This window comes from Homo sapiens, chromosome 10 (genome assembly GCF_000001405.40).
Source record: "Homo sapiens chromosome 10, GRCh38.p14 Primary Assembly".
Lineage (NCBI taxonomy): Eukaryota > Metazoa > Chordata > Mammalia > Primates > Hominidae > Homo > Homo sapiens.
Window position 1 is genome coordinate 3,103,290 of NC_000010.11, and position 24,664 is coordinate 3,127,953.

General features: G+C 53.4%; 1 protein-coding gene across 15 annotated transcripts in view, besides 3 other annotated features; it reads left to right on the top strand.

The window, feature by feature from the left end:
• Positions 1–24,664, top strand: part of PFKP (phosphofructokinase, platelet) — a 69,258-nt gene that overhangs the window by 35,742 nt on the left and 8,852 nt on the right. For 6 of the 15 annotated variants that reach the window (NM_001323071.2, NM_002627.5, NM_001323067.2 and 3 more), the window contains 12 exons: positions 490–655; positions 1,826–1,870; positions 2,104–2,212; positions 3,925–4,020; positions 5,412–5,504; positions 6,066–6,191; positions 8,933–8,997; positions 9,830–9,899; positions 10,083–10,229; positions 13,487–13,557; positions 15,493–15,580; positions 16,603–16,755. In NM_001323071.2, the coding sequence (NP_001310000.1) occupies positions 490–655; positions 1,826–1,870; positions 2,104–2,212; positions 3,925–4,020; positions 5,412–5,504; positions 6,066–6,191; positions 8,933–8,997; positions 9,830–9,899; positions 10,083–10,229; positions 13,487–13,557; positions 15,493–15,580; positions 16,603–16,755 (1,229 nt within the window). Of the gene's footprint in view, positions 1–489; positions 656–1,319; positions 1,871–2,103; positions 2,213–3,924; positions 4,021–5,411; positions 5,505–6,065; positions 6,192–8,932; positions 8,998–9,829; positions 9,900–10,082; positions 10,230–13,486; positions 13,558–15,492; positions 15,581–16,602; positions 16,756–21,807; positions 21,961–24,664 lie in introns of those variants that run through there. The other 9 variants (NM_001410880.1, XM_047425350.1, XM_006717449.2 and 6 more) reach the window with 7 other exon arrangements.
• Positions 75–1,010: an enhancer, noted in NCBI's record as "H3K27ac-H3K4me1 hESC enhancer chr10:3145556-3146491 (GRCh37/hg19 assembly coordinates)". NCBI's record gives its function as "activates a minimal SCP1, AML or CMV promoter by ChIP-STARR-seq in naive and primed H9 embryonic stem cells {active_cell/tissue: H9 hESC(naive and primed)}" and the evidence as "EXISTENCE:reporter gene assay evidence [ECO:0000049][PMID:30033119]".
• Positions 75–1,793: a biological region, named in NCBI's record as "CDK7 strongly-dependent group 2 enhancer GRCh37_chr10:3146075-3147274".
• Positions 594–1,793: an enhancer, noted in NCBI's record as "CDK7 strongly-dependent group 2 enhancer chr10:3146075-3147274 (GRCh37/hg19 assembly coordinates)". NCBI's record gives its function as "activates an origin of replication core promoter dependent on BRD2, BRD4, P300/CBP, MED14 and CDK7 cofactors, with strong dependence on CDK7, by STARR-seq in HCT116 cells {active_cell/tissue: HCT116}" and the evidence as "EXISTENCE:reporter gene assay evidence [ECO:0000049][PMID:35650434]".

A 24,664-nucleotide genomic window follows, 5' to 3' on the forward strand; every position in this document is an offset into this window, starting at 1 on the left:
TGCCAGCTTTGTCTGGCTTCTCTTTCCTTAACTATGCAGAATCCGGTTGCCTTGAGTTCGGAGAAAATAAAGAATCGGCCAGGGCAGTGGCTCACACCTATAATCCCAGCACTTTGGAAGGCCAAGGCAGAAGGACCACTTGAGCCCAGGAATTTAAGACCCGCCTGGGCAACATAGAGTGTGGGTCTACAAAAAAAATTAAGAAATCAGCCAGGCATAGTTCTAGCTTCTCAGGAGACTGAGGCAGAAGGATCGCCTGAGCCCAGGAGTTCAAGGCTGCAGTGGGCTATGATGGTGCCACTGCACTCCAGCCTGGTCAACAGTGAGACCCTGTCTCAGAAAAATGATAATAAAGAAATGATACCAATAACAAAGAGTTTAGAATGGTTGATTTCTCTACCCATGGCCATTCTGCCTCACCCCTAGTGGGGCACCCCCCGAACGCGCCATGGTTACGGCGATGAGACGTGCTGTTTGCTCCCCGCGCAGGCCAGATCGATAAGGAGGCCGTGCAGAAGTACGCCTACCTCAACGTGGTGGGCATGGTGGGCTCCATCGACAATGATTTCTGCGGCACCGACATGACCATCGGCACGGACTCCGCCCTGCACAGGATCATCGAGGTCGTCGACGCCATCATGACCACGGCCCAGAGGTAAAGCGCTCAGAGGAACCGGCGGGAGGCCAGTGGGGCCCGACGTGTGCCCAGCTCAGACGTTACCACGGGCTCTAGAACATTCTGCAGATTGGGTGTCCTGGTGCTGGTCTCGTAACTTGACTTTTAGGAGCTATTGCCAGAACATTGTTCTCTGGTCTACTTTTCATTTTTAATTTTAAAACATTCCTTGTTTTTAACCTGATGATAGAAAACAGTTTATTAGAATTTGGAAGGAAGAAACAAAGTAATTATCCTCTAAATGTCCTACCCAAACATCTCCAGAAGGAGTGGCAAGCAGGAAACTGTTGTGTGGATTTTCCACACTACTCATTAGAAACGCAGCCAGCGATGTCCTGCCCTGTGTAACCTACGGATTCACGAAGTGTCGTGGGGGCCACAGCGTTTGATCCGAGGTGCTCTAGGCTCAGCAGGTTATCACTAAAGACTGTGGGGCGCACCGTACAATTTCTGAAGCAATTTGCATGAAAACCATGTGGAATGGTAAATAGAATAAGTGTCTCCCCTTTAAGGACGAGGTGCTCGAGACTGGGAGAGTGCCCGAATCCAGTCCCCAGCATGGCGCCTCCCAGTCCTCTGTGTGCGTGTCCTGTTCCCAGTGACGCCTCACTGGACATTCTCAGTGCGTGGGCGTGAACCCCACAGTTGGTGGAAAATCACCGAGTTGGAAGGCTGCTCGGAGCAGTTGGATTTTTCCATTCCCTGGGAAGACCCACAGTCTCTGGGCATTAAGCACTTAGTGAGTCTGGCACTCACTTGTTTCCGTGGGAGAGATCCAGCCGTGGCTGTCGACAGCAGCTGCCGACTGTGCCCAATAGAGAAGGTATCTGGGAAAGAGCCCAGCACGGGGCCGGGGAGTGTGAGTGTGTCCTGGCACAGGCAGGCAGAAGGTGTCCAACGTGCAACTGGAGAGCGCAGAGGTGGCTCAAGTCCCCTTCCTCGCAGGAGTCTGGAAGGCTACTGCATAGCGTTTGCCTTAGTAGAAAATGGACCATTTTTGAAGCCTAGGTCCCTGCAGGCCTCCTGGCTAACTCGGCTGTCAAAGCCCCTTTTCTCTGCTTTCTGAGCTGTTTCCAGGACTGAGTGGGTGCTCCCTCTGTTTCTCTGCTTTCTGAGCTGTGTCCGGGGCTCCCTCTGTTTCTCTTCCAGCCACCAGAGGACCTTCGTTCTGGAGGTGATGGGACGACACTGTGGGTACGTACCTGCGGTGGGTCCGGTGGACGCGGTTCAGGTGGGGGACCCTCAGCATCATCTCCCTGAGGCTGCACCCCACATCCTGAATGCTCCCGTGGAAAGTCCTGAAGGGGCCGGCATCCCGCTTCATACCTGGCGTTAGGTCTGCACGTCTGTCGCTGAGCGGGGTGCCTGGGCTGCCCTCGTGGGAAGGATCCTTCTGGGGTGTTGATGCTGTTGCCTTGTCCACATAGGTACCTGGCCCTGGTGAGTGCCTTGGCCTGCGGTGCGGACTGGGTGTTCCTTCCAGAATCTCCACCAGAGGAAGGCTGGGAGGAGCAGATGTGTGTCAAACTCTCGGAGGTAATGCGGGTCCCGTGGCCGTTGATAGCGGGCGATGCTGGCTGCATTGCTTTAATCAGGATCCCAAGTGGGACGGCATTTTAAGCAAGTGAAAAAATTTCTCTGTCTCCAGTTTGTCACACTTTGTATTTCACTCTATGGACTGTGAGCGTGGGGCATGTTTTCCTCTATGAAGGCTGAGACTCAAGGCAGAAGAGGTTTCATTTAAGACCTGAGGCTGAGACAGAGTGAGCCTGGTTAGAATGCCCCATGCGTGCCTAACTCCGGCAGGCAGACTTCAGGCACTGTTGGCTCCAGGCTCCACACAGCCACCCCTATCATTTTCTATGGGTGGGTCTTTAATTTGGGGCTTAATAGAAAGCGAGTCCATTGAGGATGAGTTAATCCACATCATGGAGTGGTCGCTATGTTCCTTTCATGACCTCTTTAGGCTCACGTGACTGCCGTGAGCATAGGAAGGACGACGGGGACAGCAGCCACGGTGGCCCAGCAGTGTGAGGCCTTTCGGGTGCAGCTGCAGCTGCCAGAAACCCACTGTCTGGGCCCTGTGTCCGCTCACGCCGTTTTCTCTCTCCCGACTCTCTGCTGCTGGAGCCTGTGTGCAATACAACCTCATCCCAGTGGCCAGGCTTCGGGGCCTCCCCTGGGAGGGCCGGGGAGGAGTGGTTCACAGGGAGATGGCAGGAAACTCTGGAGGGAGGCAGAAAGCATGGCGTGCACGGGGCGCCTGTGGGGCGTCCACCTGTGTGTCCTTCCCCATGGGAGGCAGAAAGCATGGCGTGCACGGGGCGCCTGTGGGGCGTCCACCTGTGTGTCCTTCCCCATGGGAGGCAGAAAGCATGGCGTGCACGGGGCGCCTGTGGGGCGTCCACCTGTGTGTCCTTCCCCATGGGAGGCAGAAAGCATGGCGTGCACGGGGCGCCTGTGGGGCGTCCACCTGTGTGTCCTTCCCCATGGGAACCCCTGTCAATCACACCAGCACCCTCCACCTGGGGCTGACTGGGGGCCACATTTCTATCTGCGGTGGTGATGTGAGCTCCCAGTCCCAAAGAGCTCTCTTCCAGTGAGCCACAGCCGCCCTGCTCCTTCACCCCTGCCCCTCTCCTCACCCCTGCCACTGCCCCTTCACCCCTGCCCCTCTCCTCACCCCTGCCCCTCTCCTCACCCCTGCCCCTGTCCTCACCCCTACCCCTGTCCTCACCCCTGCCCCTCTCCTCACCCCTGCCCCTGCCCCTTCACCCCTGCCCCTCTCCTCGCCCCTGCCCCTTCACCCCTGCCCCTCTCCTCGCCCCTGCCCCTTCACCCCTGCCCCTCTCCTCGCCCCTGCCCCTTCACCCCTGCCCCTCTCCTCGCCCCTGCCCTGCCCCTTCACCCCTGCCCCCTCCTCGCCCCTGCCCCTTCGCCCCTGCCCCTCTCCTCTCCCCTGCACTGCCCCTTCACCCCTGCCCCTCTCCTCACCCTGCCCCTGCCCCTTCACCCCTGCCCCTCTCCTCGCCCCTGCCCCTCCTCTCACCCCTGTCCCTCCCTGCTGTCACCCAGCACACCTTTCACCACCTTCTGATGTCATTGGGAAGCAGCTCTTAGGAAGTTAGGCAAAGATTCCTGCCCAGAAAGAGGCCAGTTCAGTTTGAGACAGACTTCTGTGGTTTTGTTGCATTTGTTGCTAAGAACAGGATTAGGAATTTGAGAGCTTTAATTTTCTGTCTCCACAGAACCGTGCCCGGAAAAAAAGGCTGAATATTATTATTGTGGCTGAAGGAGCAATTGATACCCAAAATAAACCCATCACCTCTGAGAAAATCAAAGAGGTGAGTGTGTGTAGCTGCTCACTTTCTCTCGGTTTCTGCCTGGAAGCAGGGGAGGCTAGCGTCATGGGCAGGCTTGGTTTAGAACATTGAATTATTAACTTTTTATCCTTGATATTTAAAACATTTTCATAATGACTCAGAAGTTGGACGGCAGGGGAAACACGCAGCTCCCGCTCCTGGGAGCCCATTCCGCTTACGTCACCTCTTGCCGAGCCCGTAGAGGTTCCGGGACTCCCCAGCAGACAGAGGGGGTCAGCTCGAGTGGCCACGCGTGTTCTTTGGATTAGAATGTTCCGGCTCTTAAACATGAGCTGCTCTGAGAATGAGGACTGACCACTTGGCAGCCGACCCGGGCTTCTGTTTGCCACAGTGGGAAAAGGCGGCGTCTTGCTATTCCCTGTGCCCTCCCATAACCCAGAGCATCAGCTGAGCACATTCTTACAAAGCCACTGTGTCCTCGTGGCCCTGCCTGGGAACAGGCTTTGGCAGGCTTTGGCAGGCTTCGTGCCCTGGGACTTGCTCAGGCCAGTGCCTGCCTGTCTGGAGAGGACTCTGATACCATGGGCTGTGCCCCTGCTGTAGACGGGGCTGCAGGCTGCCGGGGCTGGGGATGGGCTGTGGCTCCAGCAGCCACGGGGCAGAAGACGTCCCCACCTGGCTTTGCAAGTCGGCTTCTTTATTGTGCTTTGTTATGGTCAGTTAAGGAGCAAAGCATATCTCTGGATATGAAAACAGTGATGGACACCTGGGAAAGACATCTGCCAATATTTATAAGTGGTCATCCATAAAGTCCAGGCAAAGATTTTATTTCCCGCTTAACTGTAATTAAATTATAGGACAATGGACCGAGAAGGAACCAAGGAATTTACGTAGCCCAGCCCCACTGTCCTTACAGAGGAATAAGCTGAGTTCCAGAGACAGTCAGTGGCCTCTCCAGATCACCGGGCCGGTGTGCCCATGGGCTGGGGCGAGGGGAACGCCTTGATTGGGCTGGCTTGTGCTGTTCAAATCACAGCTGAACAAATTAAAGCTGGTTCAAGGAAGATGTTTACATTTTTTGTAAAATATAAGTAATAGTTTAAATGCAAGCTACTGAAACGTTACTTTTTTATTTTTCTTTTTTAAAGCAACGAACATATTACTTGTATTCATTTTCTAGGTGCGAGCCAAGATCTTGTCTGGTAACAACAGTATTATTTTTAAAACCAATTTTCAGCTGCCTGTTATATACACTAAACGTTCTGCTAGGAAACAAAATTTAGAAATAACTTTTCCCATTTAGATCTGAAGAAAGAGCGAAAAACCTTTTCCAGTGCCCAGTACCTCCTTCCAGATCTGGGCTGCTGTGTCCGCATCACAGTTCCGCATCCTAACGAGATGTTTCCTTGCAGCTTGTCGTCACGCAGCTGGGCTATGACACACGTGTGACCATCCTCGGGCACGTGCAGAGAGGAGGGACCCCTTCGGCATTCGACAGGATCTTGGTGAGTTGGGAAGGGTTGGGCATCTTCACAAGGTCTCTAGGAGGAAGCGTTTCTGGAGAGGCACAGGCACCAGCCGGCCACAGAGGCTGGCAAGGTGCTCCCCGAGAGATGCCCGCGGCCCGGCCCTCATCTTAACGATCCTTGAGACCTTTGGTGTAGACCAGTCTCTAGGCCTGCAGCCATTCAGATGCGGGGAGAGCTCCCTAATGTGGGAAGGCAGTGCTTGGTGTTGGCACGACGTGGACCCCAGAGGGCACAATCCCAGGGCAGAAAGGCTGTGTTTCTAGTGAGTTTCTGGAAACTGACTCAGGGCAGCAGGAATCCCAAGTACAAACCCTCAGTTCTTAACACTCCTGCTCTCCATGTGCCCTGACCTCCTCTCTGTTCCCGTCTTGCCAGTTCTAAAGGAGTGGAAATCGCTTTGCTCTAAAGAGTTGGGCTGGAAGCGGGAGGGGCTGTGAGCACCTGACTGAGGTCATTGGACGTCATGGAAAGATAGGAGGTGACAGGGACAGGGCAGGACGGGAGGCTGCCCCTGACCCACATGGACCTGGTTTCCAGGCCAGCCGCATGGGAGTGGAGGCAGTCATCGCCTTGCTAGAGGCCACCCCGGACACCCCAGCTTGCGTCGTGTCACTGAACGGGAACCACGCCGTGCGCCTGCCGCTGATGGAGTGCGTGCAGATGGTGAGTGGGCAGCCCATGGCCAAGGGCAGGGCGGAGACGGCTGGGACAGAAGCTGCTTGTCAGGCCAGCCTGGGCACCTTGGGTGTCTCGTCGGTGCACGATGCATTACACGGCCTTTCTGAGAAGGAGGTGAGCTGCCCGTGGGGAGGGAGAAGGCTTATGTTCTCTCCCACACCTGCAGAGCCTGCGCCGTCTTCGCTCTTTGGTTTTCTAAGTTACCATCCATCTGTGTGGCACATAGTCGTAACCTCCCCTGAGTGGGGGTCTAGAGCATCGGGATCCTCAACAGTCGAGGATCCAGGTGGCCCCAGTGCACCAGGTGCTGCAGAAGGACAGAGTGCAGGGAGGCAGCCGAGAGAGAGAGATCCGTGGACAGACTGCAGGGAGGCGGGCGTGAGAGAGACCCATGGGGCAGAGGGGGCAGGGAGGCAGGGAGGCGGGCGTGAGAGAGATCTACAGGGTGGTATTTTGTAGGGGAAGGTGGGACCTTCCCAAACTTCTCCAGTTTCAGCCATTTCCTGTCCTCCTATCCCCAAGGACATTCAGGTCTGTGATGGGACACAGGGAAAGCTCTGGTCACCCGAAGATACACCCACCCTTCTTGGGCCAGGGAACTGTCTGCCTGCAAATGAACAAAGGGAAAAGCAGTTCCAGCTTTTCAGGCATTGGTTCAGTAGTGGAGGTGGCTGTGGAGTTAGCTGCATTTGAAGTTATTTAATTAATTAATTTATTTATTTAGAGACGGAGTCTCACTGTTGCCCAGGCTAGAGTGCAGTGGCGTGATCTTGGCTCACTGCAAGCTCCGCCTCCTGGGTTCACGCCATTCTCCTGCCTCAGCCTTCCGAGTAGCTGGGACTACAGGTGCCCACCACCACGCCTGGCTAATTTTTTTTTTTTTTTTTTTTTTTTGTATTTTTAGTAGAGGTGGGGTTTCACCGTGTTAGCCAGGATGGTCTGGATCTCCTGACCTTGTGATCCATCCACCTCGGCCTCCCAAAGTGCTGGGATTACAGGCATGAGCCACCACGCCCAGCTGTTGTTTTATTTTTCAGAGTTCATTCATGATTCGTGACTCCTGTTTTGTTGCCTCTTAACACACACAAAGAAGTCGTGAAGCAATCAAGTCAGGGACTTGTTGAAAGTCACCTTGTAAACATAATTTCCAAAAGCCCAAGGGAGAAAATAGTATTTGTGTGTATGTGTGTGAGTGTGTGCGCAGGCTTGTGTCTCTGTGTGTATGTATGTATATGTGTGTGCATGTGTATCTCTGTATATGCATATACATGCAGGTTTATGCATATATTTATGCATGTGTGTGCATGTTTGTGAGGTAGTTTGGGTCTGCATGTATGTGTATGTTTATATGCATGAGTATGCATGTTTGTGGTAGTATGTCTGCATGTATGTGTGTGCATGTTTGTGTGCATGCATGTTTGTACGTGTGTGCATGTTTTTGTGAGGTAGTGTGTGTGCATGTTAGTGTGTGTGCATGTGTGTATATGCATGTGTACATTTGAGTGTGAGGTAGTATGTTTCTGCATGTTAGTGTGTGCATGTATGTTTATATGCATGTGTATATATGTGTGTGAGGTAATGCATCTGCATGTGTGTGCATGTATGCTTATATGCATGTGTGAGCATGTTTGAGATAGTGTGTGCATGTCTGTGTGTGCATGTGTTTATATGGATGTGTGTGTATGTTTGTGAGAGGTAGTATGTGCCTGCATGTTTGTGTGTGTGTGCAGGTATGTTTCTATGCAGATGTGTGCATGTTGGCATGAGTGTGAGGTAGCGTGTGTCTGCATGTTTGTGTGTGCAGGTATGCTTATGTGCATATGTGTGTATGTTGGAGTGTGAGGTAGTGTGTGTCTGCACGTTAGTGTGTGCCTGTGTGCATGTGAGAGGCAGTAGGCTTAAAAGGCTCAGAGCACTGAACGACATGCGGTACGTGTATTTTGAGCCTGTGTCTCATGTCTCTGCTTGTCTAGAGACGACCGTGGTAGGTGTCACTTGCCCTGACCTTGAAACCACCCTTGTGTGGCTTTGTTTTTAAAGCTGAGGGACCACTACTGTGCACCTGCTGTTTGTCAGGCGTCTTCCTGAGGGTCTGACATGCTTGAATAACCTTAGAGATAGCTGGAAGTAGGAGTATTTTTCTCATCTTACAGATGAGGAAATTGAAGTTCAGAGCGAGAAAGAACTTGACCAAGATCCTGACGTTGCCCAGGGCTGCCTGGCGTGCATCAGTCCCAGCCCCGTGTCCCAGGGCCTCCATCCGGGCCCCTCTGCTCCCCCGCCCGCTGTGACCTCGCTCCCATCCCACATCCCCCAGTGAGCTGGTGTGTTCTGTTTTGTTTTTCCCCACCATAATCAAATTGAGAATTCCTTAGAACCATGCCTGAGAGATTTCATTTCCTCTGGCTTTGTTCTCTTGGAGTTAAATCTTCACAGTGTTGTGTCCACAAACAGCAGGTGACACCTTCTCTTTTTCCTCAGAAGCCTCCTGAGCTAAGCAGTCCCAGGGCTCTGACCTCACAGCCGGGCCGTGTGGGGCTGGCTGCCAACCAGCATTAGGACACACTTGGCGGCCGGTCGTCTAGACCATTAACCCTGGGGCTGCTGGCTGCCCGGGTCAGACTGGAGGGGGCTGGTGGGAAGGACCGAGCCAGTCTCTACCTACCCCATCCATGATGCACCAGGTCCTGACACATTCTTTCTTCTTTTCATCATTGTTTTAAAAGACTCAGGATGTGCAGAAGGCGATGGACGAGAGGAGATTTCAAGATGCGGTTCGACTCCGAGGGAGGTGAGGTGCTTTGGAGAAAGCTCTGCCCTGTCAGGAACACACACCCCTCAGGCCCAGCCACTGCAAACGTGCTTAGGGGTTGTGCTTATTCCATGTCACTGTGAAAAATCAGAAAGTCAGGCAGTACTCACAGCACCGCTCTTGCAGTAGCAGGCCCTGGTGACTGGTTAGAGAGAAATCATTTTCTAAATTTGCCATTGGTCCTTTTTGGTAAGGTGATGGTTGTTTAGGAGCTAATGAGATTAAGGCACAAGGTGACTTGTGGCCCTTTAACAACAAACCAAAACAAAAAAAGGAGTCTCCTTCTGTTGCCTAGGCTAAAGTGCAGTGGTGCCATCTCAGCTCCCTGCAATCTCTGCCTCCCATGTTCAAGCAATTCTCATGTCTCAGCCTCCCAAGTAGCTGCGACTACCAGCTCGTACCAGTGCATGTCACCACATCCAGCTAATTTTTGTATTTTTAGTACAGACGGGGTTTCAACATGTTGGCCAGGCTGGTCTCAAATTCCTGACCTCAAATGATTCACCCGCCTCAGCCTCCCAAAGTGCTGGGATTACAGGCTTGAGCCACCGCACGCATGTCTTGCAAGAGAAAGTTATGAAGTGTAGAAGCGTGCCCTTTTCTCTTAGTCCATTTCCACCAGACACGGACAGCACCGCGGGTCGCGGCTAAGGGCTCTGCCATGCACATGGAACCCTGGGGCCTCCTCCTTCTGCCCAGATAGTCGGGCAGACACATTGAGTGCTGGCAGATAAGCCACCTTTTCTCCACATGAGCCCTGAGTTGTGTCCGGTATTCTCGACTCCGGTCCAACGACACCCTTTTCCTTTAGGAGCTTTGCGGGCAACCTGAACACCTACAAGCGACTTGCCATCAAGCTGCCGGATGATCAGATCCCAAAGGTAGGTGGCCGGCCTCCCGCGATGCCCCGACCTCTCCTGCGGGCCTCCCCTCATGGCCTCTGCCTCAGTGAATGAGGCCACCTGTTTTCAGGCCTGGCACGGCATGAGCCACTGCCAAAGTGTGCAGCAAATGGAGCTCACGTGTGCCCGTGACCCAGCACTCACCTGCCTTCTGTTTTGCAGACCAATTGCAACGTAGCTGTCATCAACGTGGGGGCACCCGCGGCTGGGATGAACGCAGCCGTACGCTCAGCTGTGCGCGTGGGCATTGCCGACGGCCACAGGATGCTCGCCATCTATGATGGCTTTGACGGCTTCGCCAAGGGCCAGGTGAGTCACCCAGGATGCCGTAGGCAGGCAGACACCCTGGCTGTGAGCACAGTGGACGTGGCGGCGGGGGGGTGCCCTCCATGGCCCTCATACCTTTTCATGCCTCAGTCCGGGATCCTGTGATATTGTGACTGAAGCATTGCTTCTGGAGTAAAATCTCACCCTAAGGTAGGTTTCAGGCCCTCAGATGGAGCCCAGGGTATGATGTGCTTTTGAATTTTCTGAAAAGGTGCTGGGGGATGGCAGTGCCTCTGGGGTCTGATGGCCCTGACATTAGGTGAGAAGGAAGGTGGCGTTGTCTCGGAGGCTGTGGTTTGTTTAAACCGGGCACTGGAGGGAAAGCAGGCAGTGTCTGGTGTGCACAAGCACCCACTGAAATACAAACCTTAGTGAACACAGGTAACACCCCTTGATGTGTGCTGTATCCAGTTGTTCTGTGGGATTGACATGTGTTCACCCATTTAAGCCTCACACTAAATCTAAGATGTTATCCCCATTTTCCTCACAAGAAAACCGAGGCATAGGGCTGGGTGCACGAGGGAGGACTGGAAACAGGATTCTGAGCTCCTGACCAGGGGCTGAACTTGTGGCTATTTGTTTATCTGATTAGCCAACAAATACCTACTTTGTGAAATTCTTTTTTTTTTTTGAGACGAAGTCTCGCTCTGTTGCCCAAACTGGAGTGCAATGGCGTGATCTTGGCCCACTGCAGCCTCTGCCTCCTGGGTTCAAGCGATTCTCCTGCCTCAGCCTCCTGAGTAGCTGAAATTACAGGCACGCGCCACCACGCCCAGCTCATTTTTGTATTTTTAGTAGAGATGGGGTTTCATCATGTTGGCCAGGCTGGTCTTGACCTCCTGACCTCAGGTGACCCACCCACCTTGGCCTCCCAAAGTGCTGGGATTACAGGCATGACCCACCGTGCCCAGCCTCCTACTTTGTGGAATTCTTATGCTGAGGAATTAAATGAGTGAGCAAAGCAGACACAACTCTCTGGTTCCGTGGAGACTGCGTTTATAGATGGGGAGAGAGGACAGTGGCTGAGGATCCTCCTGCTCTCTGGATGGTGAGCAGTGCTCAGAGGCATGCCGAGGAGGGCCTGCTGGAGATCCCCCAGACAGCAATGCTGGGGAAGGTGCTCCCAGGCTGCTGGTGGCTCATGGGGCCCTCAGGGGACACTCATCCCAGGTGGAGGGAAAGGATGCTCTGGAGCTGATGCTCACAGGGGCGGGGGCTCCAAGCCCGCACAGGGCAGTGAGGATGGGAACTGCAGGGGCAGGGCCGGCTTCTTTGTGGGCAGCCTGAGGAGGTTGGCTTTTATGTTATGTGAGATTCGAAGGTCCTGAGCAGGGACTGGCCCACACCAAGAGCTTTCTAAAGGGACCCGCTGCTGTTCACTGAGGCAGGAGGCAGGGCTCCCAGCCGGGGCTTTGCAGTCACCTAGCAAGAGATGGTGGGTCCAGACTGGCTACTGTGCAGATGGCGAGAAACCTTCAAGGGTCTGGAGGTATGGAGGGCACGGAGGGCAGATGGGGTTTGCTTGCTAAGTACACGCAGGCATAAACAGAGGAGGCAAGGATCACTCCATTCCTGGCCTGAGCACATGGAAAGGGTAGAGTTGCAATTTATGAGGACTAGGAAGCCCTGAGACACACTTCTTGCAGGTAGGATGAGGAGCGGAGACTCATGAGGCCAGGGTGAAAGTGTGTGTCCCACGGCCGAGGACAGGACTGGGGATGCTGGGGTGAAAGTGTGTGTCCCACGGCGGAGGACAGGACTGGGGATGCTGGGGTGAAAGTGTGTGTCCCACGGCGGAGGACAGGACTGGGGATGCTGGAGTGAAGGTGTGTGTCCCGCAGCTGAGAACAGGACTGGGGATGCCGGGGTGAAGGTGTGTGTCCCGCCATGGAGGACAGGACTGGGGATGCCGGGGTGAAGGTGTGTGTCCCGCCATGGAGGACAGGACTGGGGATGCTGGGGTGAAGGTGTGTGTCCCACAGCTGAGGATAGGATTGGGGATGCCAGGGTGAAGGTGTGTGTCCCTCAGCTGAGGACAGGACTGGGGATGCCAGGGTGAAGGTGTGTGTCCCGTGGCCAAGAATGTGCAGTAAGCCGCTGTGTCCCAGCATCTTCAGGAGGGTTTGGCTGAGCTCATGGGTTTAGGAATCTTCAGCGTCTCCACGTAGTTAAAGATGCAGAACTCACAGAGCTTCCCTGAGGGCCTGAGTGCAGGCAGGAGAGAGAGAAGGTCCAGGACTGATTCCTCAGGGCGCCATTGTTAAGAGTAGGGTGGGAAGAGGAAACCCCAGCCCAGGAGACTGAGGAGTGGCAGAGAGGTGGGGTGGAGATGCCCTGTGGCATCCCTGGGAACACAGATGATCCACCTTCCACCACCACTGCCCGCCCTTCTGTGTTGGCCCATCCACCCGCATCTCAGCAGCAGGAACCGGATGAGGAACCGTTCTGTCCTGGGTGGATCTTGCTTTCCCCGTCTTTCTTGTTCAGACTTGTGAAGATTAATTGGCTTAAAACTGGTATTTGCTTTATTTAAAAAATATTGCCTTCAAAACTGATTTATGTGGGAAAAAAAAGCCTGATTTATATGGTTCTGTCAAATATATATATATATACATACACACCTTGTACAGTATTTACCTTTTGATGTAGAATGATCTTTTTTCTAATGTAATTTACCTGGAGATCCCCCTGCAGCATGGCAGTGTGTCCACCACATCCGTGAACTTACCCAGAATCTCGTGACCGGAAGCTGCGGAGCTGGGGTTCGAGCCCCACGGGTTCTCCTCCTGCAGTCCTGCCGTCCTCGCAGTGGCATCCTCTTTCTGCGATTACCTTAGTTTGCTTAGTAATCTGTTTTCCTTTTTTCTCCCTAGTTTGTAAGAAAAGAAATTTTCCCTTAATCTTTTACCAACTTAGAAACCATCATGTTACTTTTCTTTTAGTTGCCGGTGGCGGGATACGGTGAGCTGATGTATCTCACACGTGGCTCAGGATGAGACACAGAGGCCCCGACAGGCAGGGAGAACGCAGCCCCTCTGCTGCTCTTCATGAGTTGTTAACCTTGGACTTCTGCTTCTCACCTTGATTCATCCGGGCATCGTGATAAATGCTGTCTCATACGCCTCTCAAATCTTTACCGGAATGCAGCTTGTTGAAAAGTACAGAAAGCTATTTTTAGCACTTTGCAACTTGCCTTTCATTGTTCACTTTAGCTGTTTCGTTCTGTGTTTGCACATTAGATCAAAGAAATCGGCTGGACAGATGTCGGGGGCTGGACCGGCCAAGGAGGCTCCATTCTTGGGACAAAACGGTAACTTCCAAATCTCAACTCTATGACCTGCTTTTAAGGAAGAAGGAAGAGCCGTGTTCTGGGAGAGAATCGCTGGGTGCCGACGCCAGTTGGATTCCTGGAAAGGCGTCCCTAAGGGAGGGGTGCAGGCAGTTACCGGTCCTCCCTCCAGTGGAACTGCCCGTGTTCCAGGGAGCTGGGGATGTGTCCCAGGGCGTAAGAGAGAAGAGGAGGTAACTTGTGAATGCCTTCCTCTAATTCATATTTCCATTCATTTGAAAAGCCAGCTGGCGAGCCTAAAGCCTCCACTTGGAGGTCATAAAGATGAGTGGTGTCACGGAGCCGTGGAGATGGCACTCTAAGCAAACCCTAAAGCAGCCTGGATAGCAGGTAGCATTGGTGGGAAGCATAGCCCTGAGCAGCTGTGACTCGAGGCTCAGATTTCCACAGCCGAGGAAAGGACCCAAGGAATTCTAGTCTAAAAATCTCTTTTTCAGACCTACAGTAAGCCTGGCGTCCCTGCATCCCTGGGGACAATGGGATTTCCTAATGTAGATGAAGCCTGAGTAATTCTCACCTTTGATCATGTCAGAGGTGCGAATATTAATCTCTGTCATCACTACACATTACAATTTCACATGGAAGGAAGGTAGTTTTTGGCAAATATAATAAATGATGGATTCCATGTAATTCCGGCTTATTGTTCCAAGGGAGTTAGCTGCACCCTTTGCTTTGCTTTACAGCCAGGACCCTGGTACTCCCAGCCACTGGTGGGATGGTGGGAGCCTCGGAGCTGGGTTAGCTCTACAGCTGCCTCCCGGCTGTTCTCATGAGCTCTGTGTGTGGGTGCCCTGGACGGTAAAGCTCTAGGTAGAGGCAGATGCATCCCTCGGTGTGCGTTCTGGGGCTGAGGACTGGCTGCTGACACCCCGGGCACAGGTGCTTGATAGGGCCAGGGCGTTGCTCTCGAACGTAGAGAGGACTCGCTGGCTGTTGTGGGCTCGTCCTGAAGAGGCTTAAGAAACCTCACCTTAGGGGCCAGCACAGGTTTGCACTTAGCTGCATTCACTTGTCTGCTCTGATTGCCTGGCCTGAACGTTTTTGCCCTACGGTGTCTTATAAATCTACCAAGAGTACAAGTACTTCACTTCTTCCAATCAACATGAAACCTTTGGATGGGCTTGGGATGGGATCCAGGGAGGGGCACAGTCTGGTGTTGCACTTGTTAGCCCTGTCATGTGACATTGGTGAGAGCATGGGGGAGGGAGAGCAGGTATGAGCAGATGGGATTTTAAATGAGATCAATAGTGGATAATGCATATGTAAGTTATTTGGAAACTGGAAATTTCCATTTAAACAATTATTGGGCACGGCGGCTCACACCTGTAACCCCAGCACTCTGGGAGGCTGAGGCAGGTGGATCAGGAGGTCAAGAGATGGAGACCATCCTGGCCAACATGGTGAAACCCTGTCTCTACTAAAAATGCAAAAAATTAGCCGGGCGTGGTGGCGGGCGCCTGTAGTCCCAGCTACTCGGGAGGCTGAGGCACGAGAATCACTTGAACCCGGGAGGCGGAGCTTGCAGTGAGCTGAGATTACGCCACTACACTCCAGCCTGGTAACAAAGTGAGACTCCATCTTGGAAAAAAAAAATTGTTATTAATTATAACTTCTTAATTTTATTTTTTCTAATGGGGCAGTAGAGTTCTTTTTAGGTCAAGGTATGAGCTGAAATGCTTTATTCCATTTTCTCATGAAAACACTGTTTTGAGATGAGATTCCTGGTCATTCTGCCATCTGCCAGCCACAACGGCATGAGTGAAAAGGCAGACGTTTACCGCTCCTTAATTAAAACCACAGACTGGGGAAGGCGGCCGGGTGGGGACCGGCGTGGCGTCCTGCGGACCGCGTGGAGTTTGGGGTGTCTGACATCGTTCTCCACGTGGCTATTTTCAGCGTTCTCCCGGGGAAGTACTTGGAAGAGATCGCCACACAGATGCGCACGCACAGCATCAACGCGCTGCTGATCATCGGTGGATTCGAGGTACGTTACCGTTTCTCTCTTGCCGGTCTTGCAGGTGTGAGCCGCGCCCTGTGTTGGCTAAACATTAAGCTACTTGTTGGCTACTGGCCACGATCCGAGATGATAGGTTCCCAGACCCAGCGGCCACTGGAGAATTGTAGAACAGCAGGATAGCAGGTGGTAAGACGTGGCCTACGAGTGGCCCAGTTCCAGTAAAGCAACTTAACCGAGAAGCAAAAGCTTGACTCCTTAACCCGGGCCTCATCTATTCAGTGAGCTCTTAATGTATTTCAGGCCTGTGGAAGTAATTCTATCTCTTGAGTCCAGAGTCCAGTGGCTACTTAGAGACTAAGGTAGTTATACCTAGAATTTTGTTTAAAATCACATATTGGACTGTAGACCCTAATATTTTTTCTATTCATGAAGATTAGTCCCATGGTAACCTTTCCATTTACTTTTAGAAAAAGTAAAAACTGGCCGGGCGCGGTGGCTCACGCCTGTAATCTCAGCACTTTGGGAGGCCGAGGCGGGCAGATCACCTGAGGTCAGGAGTTCAAGACCAGCCTGACCAACATGGTGAAACCCCGTCTCTACTAAAATATAAAAATTAGCCGGGTGTGGTGGCAGGTGCCTGTAGTCCCAGCTACCCGGGAGGCTGAGGCAGGAGAATCGCTTGAACCCGGGAGGCGGAGGTTGCAGTGAGACGAGATTGCACCACCTCACTCCAGCCTGGGCCACAAAGCGAGACTCCGTCTCAAAAAACAAAAACAAAAACAAAGTAAGAACCTCAGAAATGAGACTCTTACCCATGAGAGGTTTAGTCATCTAACCGATCATGTCTGTCCTGCGCCCTTTGTGCTTACAACCTGCCGATCCTTGTCTGTGGTCTTAAGGCAACTGTGTGTTGATCTCGGAGTGTTTTCGTGATGCCCCAGTGTGCTCCCTGCGTGCTGTGGTGGAGGTGGCGCTCCCAGCCTCTCCCAGCGAGACCCTCTCCTCCCCAGCTTCCCTCTCGCCCCACAACTCCCACGCTTGTCTGACAGGCCTACCTGGGACTCCTGGAGCTGTCAGCCGCCCGGGAGAAGCACGAGGAGTTCTGTGTCCCCATGGTCATGGTTCCCGCTACTGTGTCCAACAATGTGCCGGGTTCCGATTTCAGCATCGGGGCAGACACCGCCCTGAACACTATCACCGACGTAAGTCCGTGTGCGCCCTGCCAGGCGGGCGCCGGCTGACGCTAACCCCGGGGCCCCGGCCCTTTTTATCTACCAGTGCGCTAGAAATAGCCTTTTACAAATACCCTGAATGAGAGCTTCTCGTTCTTTTTTTCCCCCAGAAAAGTATGTTTTAAGACTCTGAAAATTTTTGATCTCACTCCCAGAGAGTTTTACCACCTCTTCTTCTGTGTGGCCACCAGGGGGACGTAGTGTGGCCGAGACTCCAGGGGTGCCCGTGAGCACCCGAGGCGCTGAGGAGGGCTGGGTCGCAGTCTCCTGTGATTGTACCAGCATTAAAAATCGCTGTGTGTGTGTGTGTGTGTGTGTGTGTGTGCTGAGCCTAAATTTTCTTTGAGCCTCCAATACCCATTATGATGAACCCCTGCCTTGATGCTGAGGGTAGAAATTGAACTGAATATTTTATAATTTTATTCATTGCCCTGAATGCACCATTGCATTTGTTATCTCTCTGGTCTTGGCTGTTGACCTCATTTTCCCCTTTGTAAACTGGGGATGTTAAATTACCTCTAAGGCAATAATTGGTGCTACTTTAGTTTTTTTGCCAAGAGACAATAATAAAACATAGAAATATATTCTTCTTTTTTTCTTTGTGGGACGGGGTCTTACTCTGTCACCCAGGCTTGAGTGCGGTGGTGTGATCTCAGCTCACTGCAGCCTCGACCTCCCGGGCTCAGGTGATCCTCTCACCTCAGCCTCCCGAGTACCTGGGACCACAGGCATGTGCCACCATTCCCGGCTAAAAGAAATATACACCTATTCCCATGTTTGTGTGTCACGCTTGGTAATTGATGTGGGAGTTTGAAGATCCGTACCTAACACAGAAAGCATTTCATTTTTTTAAAATTTGATGTCTAAAAGTTTGTAGTAATTCTCAAGTTTTAATTTTTCTTGTGAGACTTGGTTCTCATGAATATTTTTCAAAGATATTTTTTCTTGTAAAACCTTGGCATGAAACTTATTTCTAGCACTGGTAAATAAAAAAACAAGCTTTTAACATACAGCTCATATGGTAAGTAATGCTTAGCACTCGTTTCTTGCTTTTCTGAGCGTTTTAAACTTTCTTCACTTTCTTTGCGAAGGAAACCTGCCCAGGTTTTCCTGTGTTCACTGGCTTTGGGGGCAACTTTCACCTTATTTTTGGCAGTTGCTAATCTCTGACCTAGACGTTGCTTCTGTTCTCCTGGTGGTGGGTGTCACGGCTTTGCTGCTGCGGGGCTGGCCCGGCTCTGGACCTACCTTCGCACTGTGAATGTGAAGATGAGCCTCTTTCACAGACTGGATTCCGTCATTGCTTTCACTGCTCTTTCGCCTGCTTTAGCTAGATTTTTGGGTCTGTGAAAGTTGGGTGTGCAATGGGAGGGACTGAAGCTTCTTTTTTCCCTAATTGTTACCTAATTGGAACTCGCCCAGAGGGAACGGGTGGAGAATTTGAGAGCGGTCGCTGCAGTTAGCTGAGTTTCTTTTTAATTCCAGGGTCCTCTGCTATAAATAACTGTTTTTTTTTTTTTTTTTTCAGATTGTAAATATGTAACAAATGCATAGGGTCAAATTTATGAAAACCAAAATACGTGGGGCAAAAACACCCCACAAATGATCATTTCCACCTGCTTTTACTTCCCTTGGAGGGATTGTGTGATTTATTATGCGATTGTTTTAAATGCAGTTTTTCATTCATTCGAGTTTCTCGAAGCTAGGTTAAACAATTTCTTTTTTTTTCTTTTTTTTTTTTTTTTTTTTTTTTTTTCTTTTTTTGGAGACAGGGCCTCACTCTGTTTCCCAGGCTGGAATGCAGTGCTGCAATCGCTATTCACTGCAGCCTCGACCTCCCAGGCTTAGGTGATCCTCCCACCTCAGCCTCCTGAGTAGCTGGGACTACAGGTGGGTGCCACCGTGCCCAGCTAATTTTTTGTATTTCCATAGAGACGGGGTCTCCCTGTGTTGCCCAGGCTGGTCTCAAAACGTCTGGGCTCAAGCAATCCCCCTGTCTTGGGCTCTCAAAGCACAGGGGTTACAGGGATGAGCCACCGCGCCGGGCCTGAAGTTAACTGATTACAATGTCTGAGAAAGAACTGGAGCGTGTAGTTAGTTGAGCCTCCCGTTGGCCAGGCACAGCCACCTTGGTAAGTGCATGTGTGTGTCCTTGTTGCCCTTCTGATCCTGAGCTCCAAGGAACAAGGCTGTCTTGGGAGTGCGGTGGTTCTAGTCTCGTGATGGGTGAGTGGCGCCGTCTGACCGAGGTCACCCTGGCGAATGCTGTGGCTGCTGGGGAGCTGGGACAGAGAAGAGAAAGCCGCTGAGGGTCCCTCTGTGGACCCTGAAGGGAGAGGGACCGATATGTGAACATGGCAGCTGTTTTCTCCAGAGCCCTGTTTACTGACGGCCGAACAGTGTGAATCCTGAGAAGGTTTGGATTTGGGTCTGAACTGGGCTCGTCTGGCCATAGAAGAACATGAGCTGGTGGCGTCCTCAGGAAATCAGGGTGTGAGGCAACTGGACGTGGATGGCTCCGGGTCCCCCCGGCCACTGTCCTGAAGCCGCCGGAGGCTGAGGACGCATGGGAGTGAGCGTCTCTTCCCTGTCCGGCCACACCCTCTGTGACTGGTGACTCATGGCATGGCCCTGGGCAGCATTTAGGTTTGAGGTCTGTAGATGGCTCCAGTATACTGGCTTCTATTGTTCAGAAAATTTGGTGATTCTCATGGGGGCAGGGGTGGTGATTTTGCCCCAGGGGATGTTTGCAACGTCCAGGGAGGTTTCTGGTTAGAAGTGGGAAAAGGGATGCTCCCAGCATCTGGGGCTGGAGACAAGGGACGCTGCGGAACGTCCCTCAGAGCACAGGGTGGGCTCCATAATAGGAGTCTGGCTCAGGATGTCGCCGTGTTGTGCTTCGGAAGCCCTGGGCGGGGCTGATGTGGTGAAGCCTCATCTTCTCTGGACACGTGCGTCCTCGTCCTCTCTCATGATTTCCTTCTTGCCAGCATTGATGCTTAGCCCCTCAGAATCTATGCGGTGCTGGTGAGTGGTCCTCCGGGCAGAGCAGAAGGAATGAGATACCTCAGAGCCGGTGTGACACGTTCTCAGGATACGGCTGCAGGGAGTTTCAGTCCGACCCTTTCATTCCTTAGCACTGGCCCATTACTCCGTCCTGTAAGCTCGATAAGGTCACATCAGAAGCACAGTAAGCTGCTGCCACGCTGCCGTCAGCTGCCGCGAAGGTGGCAGTGACCACAGCCTCGTGACTGATTCACAGCCTGGCTGCGCTTGGTCTTGAGAATTTTATGTTTTGCTGGGCAGGGTCTCCCCCGTATTGAAGCTTCCCTTCCCTTTTTTGGAGACTGAAGGAAGGAAAAGAGGAGTGATAGGGAAGAGGGGAGAGAGGATTTGCAGCATTGTGGCTGTCCCCACAGATTTCAATGTGGAGTTAAGCTGCCGAGACCCCCACCTGCCCTCCTGTGTGCCTCAGGCCCCTCCTGGTCCCAGGTCACCCACACCGTCTGGCTTCCAGCGAGCGCTTCTCGGAGAAACAGCCGGCTCCCCACAGCCAGTCTTGGTCAGTCCTGAGCTCGGGTATTCCACAGTAAAGTGAGCGACATCACCTGTCTGAAAAGCATAAGGAGACTCCCACGTGGCGGTGCTGAGGGGCCACATCCTGGGCACCAGGCCAGCCAGTGCCCCGACATGAGTGTTGCTGGCTGGGAAGCAGCTGGCATTTGGATTGAAGTCCTGCAAAAACTGCCATGGCCAGAGCCTGCCAGGCAGAGCCTGCACAGAGCGGCCCAAGAGCTGGGCACGTGCTGGGCCTGGGTGGAGGTGGAGGCTGTGCCATGGGGTGCGGGGGACCCTGCTCACAGCTCACCTTGTGGTCACCCAGCACTGACCCCGTTCACAGCTCGCCTTGTGGTCACCCAGCACTGACCCACCCGCCCCACCCTCCTATCCACCGTGCTGTGAACTCACCTGCCACGGGTCTACACCCACTGTCCGAAGCCCTCGGCCCACACGGGCTCCAGGCCTTGGGATGCTTTGCGTTGCACCAGGGCTGCAGAGCCCAGATCGCTCACTGTCCGACTCTCCCAGGGAGGTGTGGGCGCCGCCCTGTGTCCCACCAGTAGCATTTCTGCAGCAGATGTGGGGATATTCACAGTAAGACGGACACGTCCAAGACCATAAATAGTTGGTTTTGCCACCACGTGGATGTCAAAAACACCTTGCTGTGTGGGGCCACTTGGAGGTGGGAACAGTGGGCGTGTGGACCTGTCCTGCTGTGACTTTGGTTAACACCCTGAGGTGGAGTCTGAAAAACCCCGGTGTACACGGGCTCAAGAACCGCTCCCCTTTCTGATACCGGAGCGCATTTCCCAGTGGAACCCCAGAGCAGCAACTCAGGTTCTTGCTCGCCTGTGCGGCTTTGTGTGCGGCTTGCCGAGGGCAGAAACGGCAGCTTCCGCCCGGAGAGCAGAGATGTGGCGTGGGGCTGAGTGTGGCCCACCGGTAATCCAGCTGCATGCCCCCTTCCCTGCCTGCACCTGGGCGCCGCCTCTGCACGATGAAGGCGGGCATTTGGTGTGGTCCTTACAGCCGTGTGCCCCATCCCACTGATCCTTGCCTGCCTGCAGAAAGCTACAGGATTGGCTTTGCCTTTAAGTGTCCTGACTGCCCTGGCCTCCCTTACCTACCATGACACGCCGAGAGCTGAGCTGTCCCACTCGTGACTAACTCGCCGTTGCCTGCAACCTGCTCCGTTGCCTGCCTCACACCACCCCGCTGTGCTGCCTGCAGGCACCCCCTTTCATGAGGACCTGGGCTGTGCCCAGGCGGCCCCCTGTGTTGCTGGGGCCTGTGCTGCTCTCGCACGGCCTCCAGAGCCTCCCTCGGCCCCTTGACCCGCATGAACCGGCTTCCCCTGGTGACTCAGTCCCCTCCCGTCCCTTCCTGGACCTCAGCACAGGCCCTGGGGCTGGCAGGTGAGCACCCGGCACCCCCGCTAACCGCTTGGCCCTGCTGCTTCAGGCTTACAAGAGTGCGTGCGACATGGCCGAGGCACGAGGCCGCCACCAGGAGCTTTGCATCCCCCTGTGTGTGGTGCCGGCCACGATTAGCAACAATGTCCCAGGCACAGAAATAAGCCTGGGCTCCGACACTGGCCTGAATGCTGTTGTTGAGGTAAGAGAACCCCGTTTCCTCTCATTGCTTTTCCGTCATTTATTTTAGCAACTTGTTTCTTCTGTGCTAAGGATGAGCCGGATTTATTCTTCTTCTTTTCTCCCCTTTGTTAGCTTGGCTTTATGTCACACTGGCCAGAACAGGGTAAAATTTTTTTAGCTTCTCTGCCTTAGGGAGAGCCTGTCTTTATTGATTAAAAGTGAGATGATATATCCAGTCCTTGGGATCGTGTTTCTATCCCACCTAGACTAGGGGAGCCGCAGGTACCATTGCTCTGGAGGCTGCCTCTCCTGCCCACGCTGAGTAGTGAGGCTGCAGGGCCAGCTGTGGGAGCCTGCAGGAAGGGGTGTAAATGCCCGGTAAGTACGAGCTCCAGGACAGAGCCGTACCCACTGGGGGCCGCTGCCTGGAAAACAGCCTTCCTGGTGAGACAAGAGGCTCTTTAGAGAGCCGAAATCACGCCCTCCTGGGCAGGCGGTTTCACCAACATGTGCCTTGGGAGGGGTGGATTCTGCCAGTCGTGGGTGTGGTGCTGACACCCACATGGTGGCCCCTCCGGTCCCTGATACTCTGACCTACCTCTATGGTCATAAGCTGGACATGAAGACCTATGGTAGTTCCACAGGCCTTTGCTGCAGAGACGGTCCTCACTCAGCTGCAGACAGGACGGTGGCCACCGTGACATGTGGGGTCACGTCCGTGACTTGGCCACCTGGTGCGAGGGACCCACAGCAAAGCAGAACTGCTGGCCGGGGTAGGCCTGCATCGCGTGCGGGGACAGCAGCCACTGGCCTTTACCTTACATCTTGACGTCCAAGCCAGCTCCGGAGTTTGCAGTGAAAACTCCCAGTCCTGCTGGAGACTCCTTAGTTCAGCTTAGCACAGAACCTCGGAAGACAGCAGTTCTATTCCGGGTACTTCCTTCAGAGCTGAGTTACAGTGCAGGGAAGGGAGCAGAGGAGCCATGAGGTCGGCTGCAGCTTCCTGTGAGTCCGAGCCTCAGCCTCCCACTCGAGCTGAGGGGCGTGTCCTGGCCATCTCTCTCCTAGGCTTCTCCCTGTGTTCCCCAGTGCTGTGGTGGTCTTGCAGAGGCTGGCCCTGGCTCATTCCCAGGACTTCCTTGGGCCCCGCACTTGACCCCTGTTGGGTGAATGCCATTAGGGTCCGGCCATCGCTGGCTTCACTCTCCTTTAGCACCTTGTAGATGTCCATGCACACTTCCACCCTCGCGCCCCACACGCGACGCAGCCCTACCCTGGCCAGCAGCTGTGCTTTGCTGCGGGTTCCATGCTGTAGCAGGGACAGGACCCCCACCCCCTGTCCCGTCTGGCCACCGACTTCAGCAGAGGCTCGGCTGCCGTGAGGGATACCAGTCATGGGAAAACTGGCCTCCCTGCAGATTCACAGAGCAAGGTGGTTCTCACAGAGAAGTCAGTGGCTTTTTTCTACGTTAATGCTGTAGCAAACGCCACCTTTTCTTTCACCACCAATTTATATTTCTTAACACCCATGGAGCAAAGTGTGGTGATGTTTGAACTGTAGCCTGGGGCTCTCGCTCCCATGGGACTCCTCGGGGAATTTCTCAGCAGCAGGATCGCCTCTGCGTCCTTGCAGGGGGTGGCGTCTGCTGGGGGCACATCCCATCGTGCAGGGGGAACGGCTGAGGTCACAGGCTTTGCCTGACAAGTGCCACTCACAGCTGCTGTCCACGTGCCAGCCCTGGGACACAGCCCTCTGCCATCCTTCCACCCACTCGGAGGCCAGGGAGGCACCTCCGTGCCACACTGCAGGCAGGCAGGGCCGCGCTTGGGATCTGCCGCCTTCTTGTCAGTGCTGCTTTGACTAATTGCCTGAGGCACGGCCGGAGTGACTTGCTATTTTTAGAAGCTAATTCAGGCTTCAGATGCCATCTAGGTAATGAGGAGAGAGTTCAGGAAAGCTGTATCTAAGCTCCAGCAAAGGCGGCCTCTTCCGTACCAGCTGTCGCTGCGTTTACACTGAGACGAGCACACAGTCGGGGGCGTGGCTCAGGTGTCAGGGCTGCGCTGTTCCACAGCCCCCTGGGGCAGCCTGGCGGGACCAGAACTCAGACACGCCTGGGCACAAATCAGCCTCTTGGGAGAGCTGCTTTGCCCGCAGAATTCTTTTGCCATTAAGCGGTTGATGTCATTCTTTGAATGAGTGACAGTAATTCCCCACCTCAGGGTGGGCTGCGGGGGAGATTCAGTTGGAAAAGTAACCCATGAGGTTTTGTGCCTCTGGGGGTCCTGAGGCCCCACCCGTGCCTGGGATTCTCTAAGACAAAGGAGAAGTCTTAAAGCCTTACAGCGTCTTAAGTCTTAGATCACATTTAGAGAGACCCGGTACAGGTGGAACAGTGCAACCCTCAGAATTCTGCACTGGCCCTTCAAGAAGGCAGTTGTGGGCTCTTTGGACCCTTGACGGGGATCTGTCCTCTGTCCTCCTAAGCACAAAGATGGGAATTCTTCCCATTGCCTGTTTCTCTCCCCATCTCGGCTTCTACACAATGCAAAGTGGCCCGCTAACTAGAGTCCGTGTTCAGTTTTGAATACATCAACCAATTATTTTGGGAAGAAAAGAATCTGCCAAAGAAACTGGAAATACAGTTTGGAATCATTTAATCAAGCCTGCATTTATTAATCAAAGTGCACTTTTAGATTTCATCCGAAGTGCTCAAGTGAAC